General features: G+C 54.3%; 1 non-coding gene across 1 annotated transcript in view; it reads left to right on the top strand.

Annotated features, from left to right (window-relative positions):
* LOC105378149 (zinc finger protein 227-like) overlaps positions 1 to 10339 on the top strand; it is a 35996-nt gene extending 25657 nt beyond the window's left edge. The window contains exon 4 of the transcript XR_007059895.1: positions 9632 to 10339. This is a non-coding gene — a transcript (zinc finger protein 227-like). The remainder of the gene's footprint in view (positions 1 to 9631) is intronic.
* Positions 10340 to 14639: the final 4300 nt, after the last annotated feature.

A 14639-nucleotide genomic window follows, 5' to 3' on the forward strand; every position in this document is an offset into this window, starting at 1 on the left:
GGCAGCCGGGTCCACCTTCCAATCTTGCATGCGGTTCCGGGACCCTGCATCCCTCTTAAAGCTTGGGTCACATCAGTAAATGCACAGAATCCTGAAGAAAGGTAGTGACCGGCCACTCCACACTTCACTCAGGCGAAACCTGGAGTGCTGTGCTCAGCTTTGGCTGATATGTGTTAGAACAGGGACCCCCAGCTCCCGGGGACAGGCCGGTACCATCCATGGCCTGTTAGGGTCCGGGCTGCGCAGCAGGAGGTGAGTGGTGGGCGAGCGAGCGTTCCCACCTGAGCCCCTACTCCTGTTAGATCAGAGGCAGCATTCGATTCTCAGAGGAGTGTGAACCCTACTGTGCATGGCACATGCCAGGGATTTAGGCTGCGGGCTCCTTATGGGAATCAAAGTCTGATGATCTGAGGTAGCAGTTTCATCCCGAAATCATTTCCCCCGCCCACCGTGCATGAAAAATCGTCTTCCAAGAAACCAGTCCCTGGAGCCAAAAAGGTTGGGGCCTGCTGTGTTCAAGGACATCGTCAGTTTCTTGGGGATGGGACTGTGTTGTCCTCGTTCACCAAAGGGTCCCCCACACCTAAAATACTGCCGGCACAGAGATGCCTGCTAACTCACTTCTGCATTAATTCAGGGTATTCAAACCATGGTTTCTGATCATCTGCTATGTGCTGGGCAATGTCGTAGGTCCCAAGACACAATCATAAATAAAAGATACAGGATGATGATGCCTGGACCACAGGAGCATGCTCAGAAGACAGAATGAGGAAATGCAACCCTTTCTCATGATGGAGGCTCGAAGGGTTGAGAACAGGTGGCTTAGAGAAAAAAAAAAGGCTTGAAGAGAATCAAATTAGGGCTCTCCAGAAAAACAGAACCAACAGGGTGTATGTGTGTGTGTGTGTGTGTGTGTGTGTATGTGTGAGAGAAAGAGAAAGAGAGAGAGGCAGAGAGAGAGAGAGAAAGAAAGAAACATTTTAAGGAAGTGTCTCCTGTGATTGTCAGGGCTGGCATGTTTGAATTCTACAGGGCGGCCCGGCAGGCTGGAGACCCAGGAAGAGGCAACACTGCAGCTGGAGTCTAAAGGCCTCTGAAGGCCGAAGTCCTTCTTCCTCCAGGAACCTCAGTCTTTTCTTGTAGTCCTTCACCTGATTGGACAAGGCCCACCCATACTTCGGAGGGTCATCTGCTTTACTCAAAATCAACTGATTTAAATACTGATCTAATCTAAAAACACCTTCACAGCAACCTGTCTGGCCAAACACTGGCACTGTGGCCCAGCCAATTGGGTGCATAACATTAGCCATGCAGGGTGGACAGGCCTCTCCACAGCCCAGAGGCGGGTGACTAAATTAAAAACAAACAAAAAAACCAATTGCGGAGAAACCCAGGGTAGGGATGATCAGCAGGATGGTACATTTCATCTCCGCTGGTCATTTCAACTTTGCTCACCACACACTTTCCCCTCTCGCTGGCAGGGCCAGGGGACGAACGAAGGCCATGTTCCGAGGTTGTCATGAGTTGAAAAGTCTTTTCGGGTTACGGAAATCAGCTAAATGAACACTTTTGAAATGGGGCTGCACTAATCCAATGATTGTTCACCTCTGAAACCAGCCTGGCTCCTCTGTCATGCGGAGACATGAGGTGACTCTGAGTCCTGTCAGAGACACTCACACTCCTGCAACACCAGCCCCAGCCCAGGGCCTCTTACAGAAACGCGTGTGGAGGAGAGGGGATGGAGAAGGGTGCTGTCCCCTGGGCCCCTTGGCAAGTGGCTAGTGGAGCTCAGAACCGAAGGGTTGATTTTGCCTGAAAATTCACCAAGGAGCCCCCATAGAGGGTGGGAACTGATGGGCACAGAGGAGGCCCAGGAGGTCCTGGCCACGTGCAGAAGCTTGGGTGACCCAGGGCACAGATCTCGCCCACTGAAATGTCAGCTTCTGGGGTCACCGCACCTGAGCCACCAGGAGCCTAGGCCATGGGGTTCGGTTTCTGCTTCTCAGAGGAAACAGATCCTGGCTCTATGGCTGGCACCAACACAGCTCATGCCCTGCCCTGACTAGGCCAATGACTTGTGCCTGGGGCTGGACTCAGCCCTGCCCCTGGCACTGAAAGGGGGCAGCAGCCCAAGAGAGGCGGCGCTCAGAGAGGCCAGGGCTGGCGGGACATGCTCCTGAGAGAAGCCCCATCTCTCTCCCTCCACAGAAACAAAACCAATCTCTTGATAGAGCCACCGCAGTTCCGCTGTGTCCTGGACGCAGCAGCCCGGCTCCCACACCCACCCCGGCCTACCCTGGCTGACGCTACCCACACCTTCTGGTTGCCCAGCCCAATGGCTGCTTTCCAGGCTTTTGACCTCTGTGGCTCTTGAGATTGTGGTCACCATCTTCCAAATAACCTCCTCCCTCCCTGTAACCATCAAGAAGGCAGAGGCCACCTCAGATATTTCAAAGAGCCTTCCCTGAGAGGGGAACCAGCCACACAGGTGTTCAGATGCGGAGGCCCTGTGGCCTGGGGAGAGGGGCCGCTGCAGGGATTGTGTTGGCCTGTGGGTCTCCTAGAGCCATCCTCGGGGCTACACCCATGATGCTGCCACACAAACGGGCCTCCACGCATTCCACTTTCCCACTTCTGTGGTGTCTCTGTTGGCAGCACTGACTTCGAATGCCACCATCAAAGGGGGTGGGGGCTGGACGCCTCCATCGGGAGAGCCCCATGGTCTTGGTGGGCAGCTTCTTCCCTGCGTCACCCTGTCCTCTTGTTCTCCCAGGCGGCGTTGCAGCTGGGCCCTCACTGGGGCATTCCACTGCAAGGGGAGTCTGTGGGCTTCCTTGAGCCTTTCCACCCACCTGGGCAGCCCAGGGCCTCCCTGCCTCTCCCTGTGGGTTTCCCTCCAGGGCTTCCCTCCACCTCGTGGTCATCTCATGTCCATGACTCTCGATGTGTTTCCTTCGCCAGTTCTCGACACAGGACTCCAGGACACGTTCAAGGGTCTACAGGTCACAGTGACTCAATGTATCCAAGCAGAACCCTGCGAATTCCATGACACAGATCCTCTCCACGTCCTGCAGGCCCTCTCCTCTCTGGCCTGGATAATTGTGGGAGCTGTCTCCTCTCCCTTCAGGCCTGTCCTAGTGACATGCACTTTCTACTCTGTAGCAACAGTGAGTCCCCCAAACAAGAGTCTGATCATGTCACTCCCTTACTTGATCTCTTCCACAGATAACCATTGTTGTTAAGATAAATTCAGCCCATTTGCAGCAATGGCCTCCCTCTCAGCCGTCCAGCTCACCGTTGACTGGTCCCTGTGGTCTCCCTGTCCATGCTTACTTGTCCCCCGTGGTTCTCCTTCCATCCGTCCAGCTGACCCTTGACTGGTTCCCATGGTCTCCCTCCCACCCATCCAGCTCACCTTTGACTGGTCCCCATGGTCTCTCTGCCCATGCTTACTGGTCCCACATGGTTCTCCTTCCTGTCCATCCAGCTGACCCCTGACTGGCTCCCATGGTCTCCCTCCCGCCCGTCCAGCTCACCCTGGGTGGGCTTCCTGGCCTCTGCACTCTGGCCATGCTGAGCCTCCTTTATCTGCTCAACTCCACATGCCCTTTTCTGGCCCCTCATCTTGGTCTGGATGACCCTTCTCACTGACTTCTCATCATTTAGTTTGTGCTAAGAAACCACTTTCTCCAGGGACCCCGGTTTGGCCCCCGGTTTTGGGTGTGTGTCGCTCCCTGTGAATGCCTGGGCCTGTGCTGCCCCTCACCACTGAGTTATCGCGCCCCACTGTGGCCTTGGGTTGCCTGTGCCATCCGCAGACGGGCAGTACCTGTGGGCACCATTGGGGTCTGTCTTGCCCTCGGCCCTGCACAGACACCTGGCTCGTAGCACTCAGCAGGTGGTAAGGAGTTCTGGGTATTAAGCTCAGAAATGAATGAATGAATAGGAAGAGGGCCAGGTTGTTGAGAATTCTGTTTCGTGAAAGAACAAGGGTGTTTTGTTGTTATTGTTTTTTGTTTCGAGACCAGGCCAAGGTGCTTAGCTCAGGTCTCATCTTCTCCATTAGGTTTTCCTTGAGCTCCTGGACTGAGCAGAGTGCTCTTCCCAGGGGTCATCATAGGACCTCACATAGGCCCTGCCGCAGCCCTTTCAACTTTATATTTGTCCTTCATCAGTGTCATCTATCATCATTATCTATCATATCTCCATGACTTGTCTGTCATCGTTCCATGTATCTATCATTTGTCTGTTTATCTACCGTGCGTCTGTCATCATTATTGTCATCTCTCTGTCTACCCATCCATAGTCTGTGTGAAGCCACATACTCTCCTTCCCTGAGAGGGTTTCTTACTCATTCTTGAAACTTCTAGTTTCCCCCACAGAGCCGATACCCAGTGAATGCTTATCCGTGACAGTCGCCCACATCCTGGGGATTCGCTGTGTTTCAGAGTCTGTCATGTGGGAGAGGAACTCTAGTTTCTGTACGATCCCAATCGATGAGCCAAGATCTAGAGGTAGAAACCACAGGAACGTTCCAGCTGGCAGCAAGCTCCAGACACGGAATGAGCTTCTTCAGGGAGAAGAAGCTGCCCTGCCAGGCGGATGCGGAGGAGGCCGCCATTTTCATTTTCAGGCGAGGGAGCTCAGGCCAGCGTGGGGCGCCGGCAGGTGACGCCACGCAGCGCCCCGCCCCGCCCCGCCCCCTGCTGAGCGCCCCGCCGTGAGGATCCGCTCCAGCCTCTCCTTCCTCTGAGGAAGGCGGTGATGCTGTCTGTGCATGGGTCTGACCCTCTCCTGAGCAGGCCCGGGAGTCCGGCTATCTGTTAGGCCTGGCCCCCAGCCCGGGGCTCACCTGCTGGAGGCACCTTCTGGAAGCTGAAGTTTCCTGCTGCACATCGCTCTGCTGAGGCCCTGTGGGGAGGGCAGCGCCGGTTTTTCAGGCAGCGATAGAAGGGCTAACAATGGGGGGAAGTGCCTCATTGACCTGCTTTCTTTCCTAGTTATCACTAAGAAAACAGGCTCCGTGGAAGCTGGGGTTATCTCAAAGGCTGCTCCATGAGTGGGGGATGAGGGCGTCCGCTCTCCTGGAAATGCTCAGGTCCGGCCTCTGCCCCAGGGTGAGCCACGGCCCGGGCTGCAGGCTGAGAGAGAGAGGGATTTCACTTCAAATTGAGAGGGGGGTTTTCGTTTTATTTCCGGTCATGAGAACACTTTTCTGACCTCAGGGAAGATCACGTTTTTTGACTCTCCTGTCCTGACACCTTCCTAAAGCCTTGCTCAACTTGCAGATGGACCCTGGGGACTTGATGCTCAGTTTGCGGATGGAACCCCCTCCCCGTCTGGGGGTTTGGCGAAAACGCAGACTCTTGGGTCCTGCCCTTCCTTCAGGCTCCCAGGGTGGCCAGGCAGGGTCCTGGGACAATCTTGACCCAAACAACCTCTAAGACCTCTGAAGAATTACGGTTGCAGCCCCTCCCCGCTTCCCTGGGCCTCGGGTGGTGAAATCCTACAGATCAAAGGACCAGGGCCTGGGCGCCCCTCCTGGGCACCGCCTGGGGTCGGAGTGCCCTCCCCAGGGACCCTGGTGGCCCAGACGCTGCCCCGCTGTGCATCTGCCTCTGTCCCGGCTCCCTGATCACAGGCGCCTTAGGGCTCGCCCATCACCCGGTGAGGATACACAAGACCTGCTGCAACGTGGCTGCGGAAGCAAGGGGGCTAAGGGTGATGATGATGATGGGGTGACAGTGATGTTGGGGTGATGATGATGATGGGGTGACAGTGATGTTGGGGTGATGATGATGATGGGGTGACAGTGATGTTGGGGTGATGATGATGATGGGGTGACAGTGATGTTGGGGTGATGATGATGATCGGGTGATGATGATGATGGGGTGACAGTGATGTTGGGGTGATGATGATGATGGAGGTGACAGTGATGTTGGGGTGATGATGATGGGGTGACAGTGATGTTGGGGTGATGATGATGATGGGGTGACAGTGATGTTGGTGTGATGATGATGATGGGGTGACAGTGATGTTGGTGTGATGATGATGATGGGGTGACAGTGATGTTGGTGTGATGATGATGATGGGGTGACAGTGATGTTGGGGTGATGATGATGATGGGGTGACAGTGATGTTGGTGTGATGATGATGATGGGGTGACAGTGATGTTGGGGTGATGATGATGATGGGGTGACAGTGATGTTGGGGTGATGATGATGATGGGGTGACAGTGATGTTGGGGTGATGATGATGATGGGGTGACAGTGATGTTGGGGTGATGATGATGATGGGGTGACAGTGATGTTGGGGTGATGATGATGATGGAGGTGACAGTGATGTTGGGGTGATGATGATGATGGGGTGACAGTGATGTTGGGGTGATGATGGTGATGGGGTGACAGTGATGTTGGGGTGATGATGGTGATGGGGTGACAGTGATGTTGGGGTGATGATGATGATGGGGTGACAGTGATGTTGGTGTGATGATGATGATGGGGTGACAGTGATGTTGGTGTGATGATGATGATGGGGTGACAGTGATGTTGGTGTGATGATGATGATGGGGTGACAGTGATGTTGGTGTGATGATGATGATGGGGTGACAGTGATGCTGGTGTGATGATGATGATGGGGTGACAGTGATGCTGGTGTGATGATGATGATGGGGTGACAGTGATGCTGGTGTGATGATGATGATGGGGTGACAGTGATGCTGGGGTGATGATGATGATGGAGGTGACAGTGATGTTGGGGTGATGATGATGATGGAGGTGACAGTGATGTTGGGGTGATGATGATGATGGGGTGACAGTGATGTTGGGGTGATGATGATGATCGGGTGACGATGATGATGGGGTGACAGTGATGTTGGGGTGATGATGATGGAGGTGACAGTGATGTTGGGGTGACGATGATGATGGGGTGACGGTGATGTTGGGGTGACGATGATGATGGGGTGACGGTGATGTTGGGGTGACGATGATGTTGGGGTGACGGTGATGATGGGGTGACAGTGATGTTGGGGTGATGGTGATGATGGGGTGACAGTGATGTTGGGGTGATGATGATGATGGGGTGACAGTGATGTTGGGGTGATAATGATGATCGGGCGATGATGATGATGGGGTGACTGATGTTGGGGTGATGATGAGGGTGACAGTGATGTTGGGGTGATGATGATGATGGGGTGACAGTGATGTTGGGGTGATGATGATGATGGGGTGACAGTGATGTTGGTGTGATGATGATGGGGTGACAGTGATGTTGGGGTGATGATGATGATGGGGTGACAGTGATGTTGGGGTGATGATGATGATGGGGTGACAGTGATGTTGGTGTGATGATGATGATGGGGTGACAGTGATGTTGGGGTGATGATGATGATGGAGGTGACAGTGATGTTGGGGTGATGATGATGATCGGGTGATGATGATGATGGGGTGACTGATGTTGGGGTGATGATGGGGTGACAGTGATGTTGGGGTGATGATGATGATGGGGTGACAGTGATGTTGGGGTGATGATGATGATGGAGGTGACAGTGATGTTGGGGTGATGATGATGATCGGGTGATGATGATGATGGGGTGACTGATGTTGGGGTGATGATGGGGTGACAGTGATGTTGGGGTGATGATGATGGGGAGACAGTGATATTGGGGTGATGATGGGGGCAACAGTGATGTTGGGGGTGATGACGATGATGGGGCAATGATGGAGGTGATGAAGATGGGGGTGACAGTGATATTGGGGTGATGATGGGGTGACAGTGATGTTGGGGTGATGATGATGATGGGGTGACAGTGATGTTGGGGTGATGATGGGGAGACAGTGATGTTGGGGTGATGATGATGATGTGACAGTGATGATGTGGGCAATGATGATGGGGGTGATGATGATGGGGGTGACAGTGATGAAGGCGATGGTGGGTGATGATGGGGAATGGTGGTAATAATGGGAGTGATGATGATAATGGCAGTAATGATGGGGGTGATGGGGAGGTGAGGGTGTAGGGCCTCCCACCAACAGGGGAAGGAACATCTGGTCTGAGGTTCACATATTGCAGGGGCTGTATTAAGTGTTGCTTCAACACAATGAGGTAAATGCCCAGGTCCCAAGGCACCAAGACCGGGTCCTCTGGGCCTTCCCCAGTCGCCCTGAGGCCACTTGCTGCCATCCATCCAAACAGTAGGCCTGGCTTGCCTGCTTCCCAGGGTTCCTCATCTCCCAGGCAAGAGGGGTGGCACGGATTCTATAAATAAATAAATAGCGTAAAATTCAACCCAGTAGGAGGCCTGCAAAGCCCTCAGGGTGTGGCCCTTGCTGCCCATCCCCTTCTACAGCTACACTGGCCTTTTCTTCGGCCGGGACACCACAAACGCACTCCCACCCCAGGGCCTTTGTGCCGCTGCCCCATTGCAATGCTTGGCCACAGAGGTCCCCGCAGCCAGCTCCGTGCAGGACCCGTAGTTCCCAGCTCTGGGGCCACTTTGTTAGGGGCCTTACTTCATCCACTTAAGGCATTGTAGAAACACAGACTAGAAGGTTTTAGTCACATACATATCCTGGCTCGATAAGCATTTTATATAGAAGCCCTGGGTGGACATGTTCCAAAACAAGGGCATGGTTTTACTCAGCACCTTTGAATCTTTGATGACTCCAGGCTCTGGTAGGAGCCAGGAGGAGATGTCAGGTCTGAAGCTGAACCCGTGTGGTCGTGGCAGCTCTCCCCACGTGGGTTTCCCAAGGCGCTCAGGCTCTGAGTTGTTCTTCCAGTCTGTAATGTGGTACAAAGGTAGGAGGCATCTCAAAGGATGAACAGAAGTAATGTAATAAGCCCTTAGCCTGAGGCCCGGCACGTAGCGGGCAAGCTGTGAACTCCGACTGCGCCACCGTATTCCGGACATGCTGTGATCGTCGGGTGGGGGCGGATGTTGAAGCATCAGTGGCCTCTGTCTGGTTAGCGACGCTGCACCTCCTGACCCCTTTCTACTCCCTCAGGCTTGGTCCTTCCCTGGGCCCCGTTAGCTTCACTGTGAGTGCCTCCCATTCATCCAGGCATCCGTGTCCCACGCAGAGGTCCCCATGACAGTGAGGACTTACGTCTTTTAAACTGCAGTTCCCGTAGTCCCTGGAGCGGTGCCTGGCATGTCGTGGGCTCAATAAATAATCATTGAATAGATGAGTAATTGAATCAATGAAGAGAGAAAATGGCCTAAGCTGAAGCCACATCAGTGTGGCCATGGAGTGAGGGGCAGGGGGAGGTTCTGCCAGCCCTGAACCCTTCTCTTTGCGGGGCAGCCTTCGTACACCACATCTCTTTTGAGTCTGTTTTCCTGGGGGGGTTGATAATTCCTTCAGAACATTACTGGGGGGCACTGTGGAGTGTTAACTTGTGAATGGAAGTGTTTCTTGAGTGGAGCAGCTGGAGGAATTCTGAGATGGCCCATGACTGCCGCCCTGGTGTGCACACACTTCCTCCCAGCTGTTCACCAGGATTCCAGGGCGGCTGGGAGGGCTTGTTATGGGGTTAAGATCCCAAAGCAGTTGACCTTACGGTAGGGAGATAATTGGGGGACCCGGCCTAATCACACGGACCCTCTAAAAACGATTTTCTCCACCTGCAGGCAGGCGGCCTCCAGGAGCTAAGAGTAGGAAGGAGCATAGAGACCTCTGTCCTGCAACTTCCAGAAGAAAATTCCCCCAGCAATTGGGAGCTGAAAAGTGGCCCTCAGCCCATAGAAGTCTCACAGCCCTGGCCGGTGCCATGAATTCAGCCTGCTAAGACCCGAAAGTGAAGTTGCAACATGCCCAGGCCACTGACCTGTGGAAACTGAGCTGAGGGTTGGTGCTACTCTCAGCGCCTGTGCTCATGGAAATTTGTTATTCAGCAACAGGAAATTAGTGCAAATAGAAAAGGCTGCCTCAAACATGGTCATGGACACTGCCATGTTCCAGCCCCAGGAATAAGACACAAATGGTTCTCGTGAGCGCTCGGCCGTCCATCAAAGCAAGCCTTGATTCCACACAGGAGAGAAATCTGATGACTCAGGCCCTGGGGCCTTTTGGGTTCAGGATAATCGTGAGTTTGTTATACTGAATTTCTTAACAGGAATTTAATGAACAAGTTCCCTGTTTTGAATTCCAGTTCCATTTATTAGTCAGGGTGAAGGGAGGCTGCTGTAACAAGGAGCCCCACTACACCGTTGCTTAAAATACAGGCCTGCGCCCACCTCCTCCTGCAGGGGCACCAGGCAGGCGGCCCTCCCCGTCCCCCGTGGCAACTGTCTCCAGGCCGCGCTTGGCAATAGCGGGAAATAAAATGACGAAGGTTACTCCTCCTCCTCCTCAGTGCACCTCTTCCTGGGGATTAAAACAAGGACCTCAGATGTCTACACTACAGACGGTGGGGTTGCCTTGGGCCCTACTCCAATTAGGTCTAGAATGCACTGCATGGTCAGAGTGGGCTGGAGCTGCAGGAGGGGCAGGGCCAGCACCAGCATGCAATTGGTGAGGGGAGGGCTTCAGTGCTGGGCGGGCAGCCTCCTCTGGGACCTGGCTATAGTGGGCCAGCCTGGTGGTGAGTTTGTGTCTGACGTGGGCTCTGCCACCTGCCAAGTGTCTGATCTGAGGACAAGTGGTGCTTTCTGGGCCTCAGTGTCTTCATCTGCAAAACGGGACCGTGAGACCACACCTGACTGCCAGGGTTGTTAGTGGACAGGCCTCAAAAGGTTGCCTGGCACATGCCGGGCGTGCCCTAAACCAGCATCCAGGGCAGTGCCGCTCACCAGAAGCCGCAGGACCTGTGTATGGAGCTAGTTCAGTCGGTGACCTGCTGAAGGAGTGTGGGGCACGGGGGCCGCGGATTCTGAACACACCTCATCCTTACAGTGATGACGGCAGAGTGCCTGCTTATTAGCAGCTTTAGCCAATTTGCAGTTTATCTTGGTGCTCACCCAAACAGGCTGCAAACCGAGACAAACACACTTTGAGGTCATCACCCCATGACTCAGAACATTTTCCTGATGGTTTCCGTGCTGAGGAAAGAAAAAGAAGGCCTTGAAATATTGCCAGTGGAAAAGGTTTGTGTGTGCAGCTGATGGCAGATGGTGGGTTCTGGCAGCCTGGCTGGTAAGCCCCTGGCATCGGGTCTGTGCTGGTCACTCATGTGCCCGGGAAGCCCAGGATGTGGGGGTCTGTGCTGGTCACTCAGCTTCCTGGGAACCCAGGGTGTGAGTGTCTGCGCTGGTCACTCATGTGCCCGGGAAGCCCAGGATGTGAGGGTCTGTGCTGGTCACTCAGTTGCCCTGGAAACCCGGGGTGTGGGGTCTGCACTGGTCACTCAGCTGCCCGGGAAGCCCACGGCATGGGGGTCTGTGCTGGTCACTCTGTTGAAGCTCTTCTTCTTTTCAATTTGGGGGATGTGAGGCTCTGTCCCACCTCCTGGCCTTGTTCTAGTTGTTGACAGAATGGTTAGCTTTGAAAATCAGGCAGAGTACTTTAGGCAACTTCCATGGTAAAAGAGGTTCATTTTCTCCCACACCCCATGGGGCCAATTCCTTTGAAATCTAAAGAGCAGAAGGAGAGAAGGGAAGGGAGCCGTGCTCTGATGCTGCTTGCCGCTGTTTCTCTCATGGGGGACACACTTTTTTCCTTGCTCCAAGACTCACTTTTCATCCCCATTCAGGTTCCGGGAGCTCTCCTAGGTGTTGGAAAAGCCATGGTGAGCACACACTGCTCGCGCCATCCTGGAGAGGAACCTCCAGCCAGAGAAGCCAACATGCGCACGACGCACACACCACAGAGAAGGCACAGATGAGCGCACACAATGCACACACCACACCACGGTGGAGCTGACGGTGGCAGGGAAGGCACAGATGGGCGCACACAATGCACACACCACACCACGGTGGAGCTGACGGTGGCAGGGAAGGCACAGATGGGCGCACACGACGCACACACCACACCACGGTGGAGCTGACGGTGGCAGGGAAGGCACAGATGGGTGCACACAATGCACACACCACACCACGGTTTTGCCCCCTGCACCTTCTATCCTGAGGATGTTGTCAACAGGGCTAACAGACTCTGACTTCCGCACCAATGACTCCTAGTCCCTCAGTGATGAATTTGAATGCTCTGCAGCGGCTCTGTCCAGCTGATTGACCTGGGGTCAGGAAGAAGACAGGCAAGGGCCAGGCTGTGGCCTCGGTGTTGGCAGATGCGTTTCTGGGTGGAAAAGCTGCACAGCAGACACCCCAAGCCGGGAGTCAGGAGTTATTAGGAAGAAGTCCTCTGGGACAGCATGTGGGGGCCTGGCCCGCTGCATTCCCCACCCTCCACAGAGAGGCTTTGGTGTTGTTTCCAAGCCCTGCTCCAAGGTGGCTCTAGAGCCTGCACCTTCAAATGCACCCTGGGCAGACCATACCATCTCTGCGGGTGAGCTGGGCTGTCCCCTCCACTGGGTCAGAGACGCTGTCCTCCCGCAGAGGATGTGCAGGGAAGGAAAGGCTTTGGGAAGGTCCCCCGGTCTGGGCTCAAGCCAGGCCAACCATCCTACAGAGACAGGAAACCTGGAGCTTCCCACAGCAGCCCAAAGTTCCAGGGGAGGGGAGGCAGGGAAGACGTCCAGCCCACATAGCACGCACTTGCACACGCACACACCTGCACACCCACACACACATCCATGTGCACATGTGCACACACTTGCATACCTGTGTACACATGCACATACGCCTGCACAAACACACCCCTGTACACACAGGCACATGCACACACCTGCACACATGAGCACACACCTGCGTACCTGCACACACACACCTGCACACACATGCACACGTGCACACACCTGCACCACACATGCATACACACAGGCACACACATCTACACACACACCTGCACATGCACACACGCACATCTGCCTAAACATGTCCATGCACACGTGTGCACACACACAAACTAAAGGAAACACTGTTCTCTGGCTTCATCTTAGTGGTCTCTGTGTGGCACAGACATGCTTGCACGTGGAGGCTTTGCTGCACAAAGGTGAGAAGGAGACATCTGCCCATGGGGAGACATGAGCTCAGCTGCAGGCCAGGGGCACAGGGCTCAGGGGGATGTGTGCCAGGAAGGATGGCCCGGTCTGGCCTGGGGCTCTTGGAGGTTGAGGGATGTGGACTTTCTTTCAAGGGTAGAGGGGAGGGCCTCTGGGGGCCATGGATCTGGCATGGGGTGATGGGCTCGGACATTTAGATGTGAGTCAGGAGCATCTGCTGTGCAAGATCCCAGCTGAACCCAGGCTGGGCCAGGGCAGCAGGAAGCAGTGGAGGAAGGGGCATGACAGGCTCTCAGAGGGTATTGGCGGGCTTTTCCTTCTCGTGTCTGCCTGATGAAAGACAACGCCATCCTCAGGGGCCTCCTTGACTGAGAGTGGAGGGTGTCTGGCCACCTGGGGGCAAGTGTTCTGGGGTGCAGTGTGTTTGGATGTGAACCTGCTTCCCGACTGGAAGGGGTCAGGGAGTGAGGCTGGGGAGACGGGAGCAGGGGATGGGAACTGGACCTTGTGCAGGACATTAGGAGAAACAGGGGGCAGTGTCTTGGGAGACCCCACCTGGTGCTCAGGGAACACAGTGCAGGGTGCCCCAGGTGCCTTGGGAGATGGAGGACAGAGGATAAGCCGTGGTGGCCACTCTTGAGCCAAGCAGCAAGGGGTGGGGCAGGGCTGGCCATCGCCAGGGGCCCTGGGGACCGGGGCACATTGGACATCTTCTCTGGCCCTGAGTCTGTGCTGAGCAGGGATCTGTAGAGATTGGTTGACTATTGCGCTAAAACTCAGTTTTATGCTCCGAACACTTGGTCAGTTAAACTTCACAATTGCTGTCATTTTTGTAAGCATCGCCTGACTGCAGGAATGCAGCAATCCCACACATGACATGTCCTTCCCAGTCCACCGCAGCTTTCTCGCCGGGAGGGCCATTGCAGATGTGGACACACAGCAAACAGGTCTGAACGCAAGCAATGGAGATGGGACCAAGTCATCTTCTGAGAGGGGAACCTTCCAGAAAGTTGAGGGATCTTCTGAGTTGAAGTCCCCAGGGACTGTGACAGCCCAGAGCAGGTTGCACCCTGGAGGCAACAAGGACTGTGGTCTCAGCCATTGCCAGGTTGCTGACTTGAAAAATGAAGACACTTAGCACATGGTTCTAGTTTCACGCGTATATCTTGATGTGCTTCCACAGGAACAGTCATTTAGGAAATTTTATACTCTAACATTTCACAAACACTGGAACTCCACCCTGGCAAGGGGCCGTGCTCTGCAGGCTGGCAGAGCATGTGTCTGCGCGTCTGTCCAGCCACCCCGTGACCCCACATGGGCTGTGCTCACACTTTCTCTCAAGCGACAATGACCCATTTGTAGAATGATTATCTTTTCCTAAGACTAAAATGTCCCATTTATAAATATAATTGGTCTACTTTTAAGAAAATTTTACCTGGTTTTACTTTAAGAAAGACTCTGGGATTCTGTGTGTCATTACAATAATTGTCTTTATTTTATTTGCAAATATCATATTTGACGCAAAGGAATGCTGTAACACACATGTTTGCACATCGCGATGAAGGCCCCAGGAAACCCTC

The sequence above is a fragment of the Homo sapiens genome, chromosome 6 (genome assembly GCF_000001405.40).
Source record: "Homo sapiens chromosome 6, GRCh38.p14 Primary Assembly".
In the NCBI taxonomy this organism is placed as follows: Eukaryota; Metazoa; Chordata; class Mammalia; order Primates; family Hominidae; genus Homo; species Homo sapiens.